General features: G+C 48.5%; 1 annotated feature.

Annotated features, from left to right (window-relative positions):
• Positions 1,506–2,005: an enhancer, noted in NCBI's record as "OCT4-NANOG-H3K27ac hESC enhancer chr4:12365807-12366306 (GRCh37/hg19 assembly coordinates)". NCBI's record gives its function as "activates a minimal SCP1, AML or CMV promoter by ChIP-STARR-seq in primed H9 embryonic stem cells {active_cell/tissue: H9 hESC(primed)}" and the evidence as "EXISTENCE:reporter gene assay evidence [ECO:0000049][PMID:30033119]".

Below are 2,219 nucleotides of genomic sequence, written 5' to 3'. Positions count from 1 at the left end.
TCGGGCCAGAGTTCCAGGGGCTCTGGGAGTGGCTGCCAGCTGAGTTGAACAGTCTGATTTCCAGTGGGGTCCTGCACAGATGGAACACGACTTAGGAGGAATCCTGGGCTGCAGGCATTCCTTGGCCTGCTGGCCAGATTTCTGGCACTTGTAGCAAGCTCCTGGGGGAGATGGTTCTGGAGGAATGCCTGGCCACTGCGGTTTAGGCATTTGGAAGTTCTCGTGTGCTGGAGATGTGGCTGGGGTTTGTCTCACAGTGGAGGCAAGGAATTGCAACTCAGAAATATGTTGCTACTTGGCTGCCTCTACTCTATTATTACACACCTTGAAGGTGAGGTTAAGTCCTGTTGTGGGGTTTGAGGGCCGGAATTTAATTTTTGGAGTTTTATTTAATTTTGGGAGCAGATAGGGTAATAAAATGTATATTGAGAATAGACGGCCTTTTGACCTTTTAGGGTCTAGGGTTGTAAAGCATCTCAGGGTTGCTGCCAAATGAGCCATGAACTGGGCTGAATTTTTATATTTGATGAAAAAGAGGCTGAACGCTATCTGATTTGGGATAAAGAAAAAGGAGCATTAACCTTGACTATGCCTTTAGCTCCAGCCACCTTTTTAAGAGTAAATTGCTGGGCAGATGGGGCAGGGCTAGTCATGGAACCAAACTGTAAGCCGGACTGGGTGTGAGGAGGGGAGGTGATAAAAGGATTATAGGGTGGAGGAGCAGAGGCTGAGGAAGAATTGGGACCTAGCACAGCCTGGCGAGCAGAGGAGAGGTCAGATGGGTTTGTAGAAAAGGAAGATTAGAAAGAGTCAGCAACACTTGGGGTCGGGACTGAGGGGACAGATGGGAGGGAAAGAAGGAAGATTTGGGATGAGTTGCATTGGGAACAGAGACTAGGGAGGGACCAATGTGTAAAAGAATACCTGGACGTCAGGCATCTCAGAGTGTTTGCCTATTTTACGACAAGAATTATTTAGATCTCGTAGGATGGAAAAATTGAAAGTGCTGTTTTCTGGCTATTTGGAACTACTGTCGAGTTTGTATTGGGGTGAAGTGGCATTGCAGAAGAAAATAAGATGCTTAGATTTTAGGTCAGGTGAGAGTTGAAGAGGTTTTAAGTTCTTGAAAGCACAGGCTAAGGGAGAAGAAAGAGGAATGGAAGGTGGAAGCTTGCCCATAGTGAAGGAGGCAAGCCCAGAGAAAAGAGAGTAGAGACACAGAGAAGGGGTGTGGCGTTCTTGCCCTCCAGAAAAGCAGAGAAGGGGTCGGAGCACAGAAATAAGGGTTTGGGGTGCAGAGATAGGAGGTTGGGGTGCAGAAATAAGGGATCGAGGCACAGAGATAAGAGGTCAGGGCGCGGAAATAAGGGATTGGGGGTTATTGCCCCCTAGAAAAGCAGGACTTGCTGCTAAGGGTGAAGGAGAAGGGGTTGAGGGGTTCTTGCCCCTCTCCCAGAAAAGTGGGACTTGCCACTAAGGGTGAAGGACCAAGCCAGGCATCCCTGCATGGTCTGACACCTCTGAAACGTGGGTGTATAGAGAGGCGTCCCTGCAGTGATTAAACACCAAGGGAAGGCTGCCTTCTCAGTCCGTGACCGGCGCCAGAGTTTTGGGTCCATGGATAAAACGCGTCTCCTTTGTCTCTACCAGAAAATGAAAGGAATTGAAATGAAGAGAAGGGAGAGATTGAAGTGTGACACCAAGATTGAAAGGTGAAAGAGTTTGAGGGATAGTGAGGGAGGTTGGAGAAGAGAGTAAAAAGAGGCCGATTACCAGATTTGAAATTGGTGAGGTGTTTCTTGGGCTGGTCAGTCTGAGGACCTGAGGTTGTAGGTGGATCTTTCTCAAGGAGCAAAGAGCAGGAGGACAGGGATTGATCTCCCAAGGGAGGTCCCCCAATCCGAGTCACAGCACCAAATTTCACTCGTATCTGTATGAAGAGATTGCCAAACAGGCTTTGTGTGAACAATAAAGTTTTTTAATCACCAGGGTGCAGGCAGGCTGAGTCTGAAAAGAGAGTCAGCGAAGGGAGATGGGGTGGGGCCGTTTTATAGGATTTGGGTCGGTAAAGGAAAAAGGGGTGTTGTTCTCTGGCGGGCAGGAGTGGGGGGGTCACAAGTTGCTCAGTAGGGGAGCTTTTGAGCCAGGATGAGCCAGGGGAAGGAATTTCACAAGATAATGTCATCAGTTAAGGCAGGAACTGACCATTTTCACTTCTT

This window comes from Homo sapiens, chromosome 4 (assembly GCF_000001405.40).
Source record: "Homo sapiens chromosome 4, GRCh38.p14 Primary Assembly".
Taxonomy (NCBI): domain Eukaryota; kingdom Metazoa; phylum Chordata; class Mammalia; order Primates; family Hominidae; genus Homo; species Homo sapiens.
The sequence above is the reverse complement of the archived record's forward strand: the minus strand, read 5'-3'. Positions and strand labels throughout refer to the sequence as shown.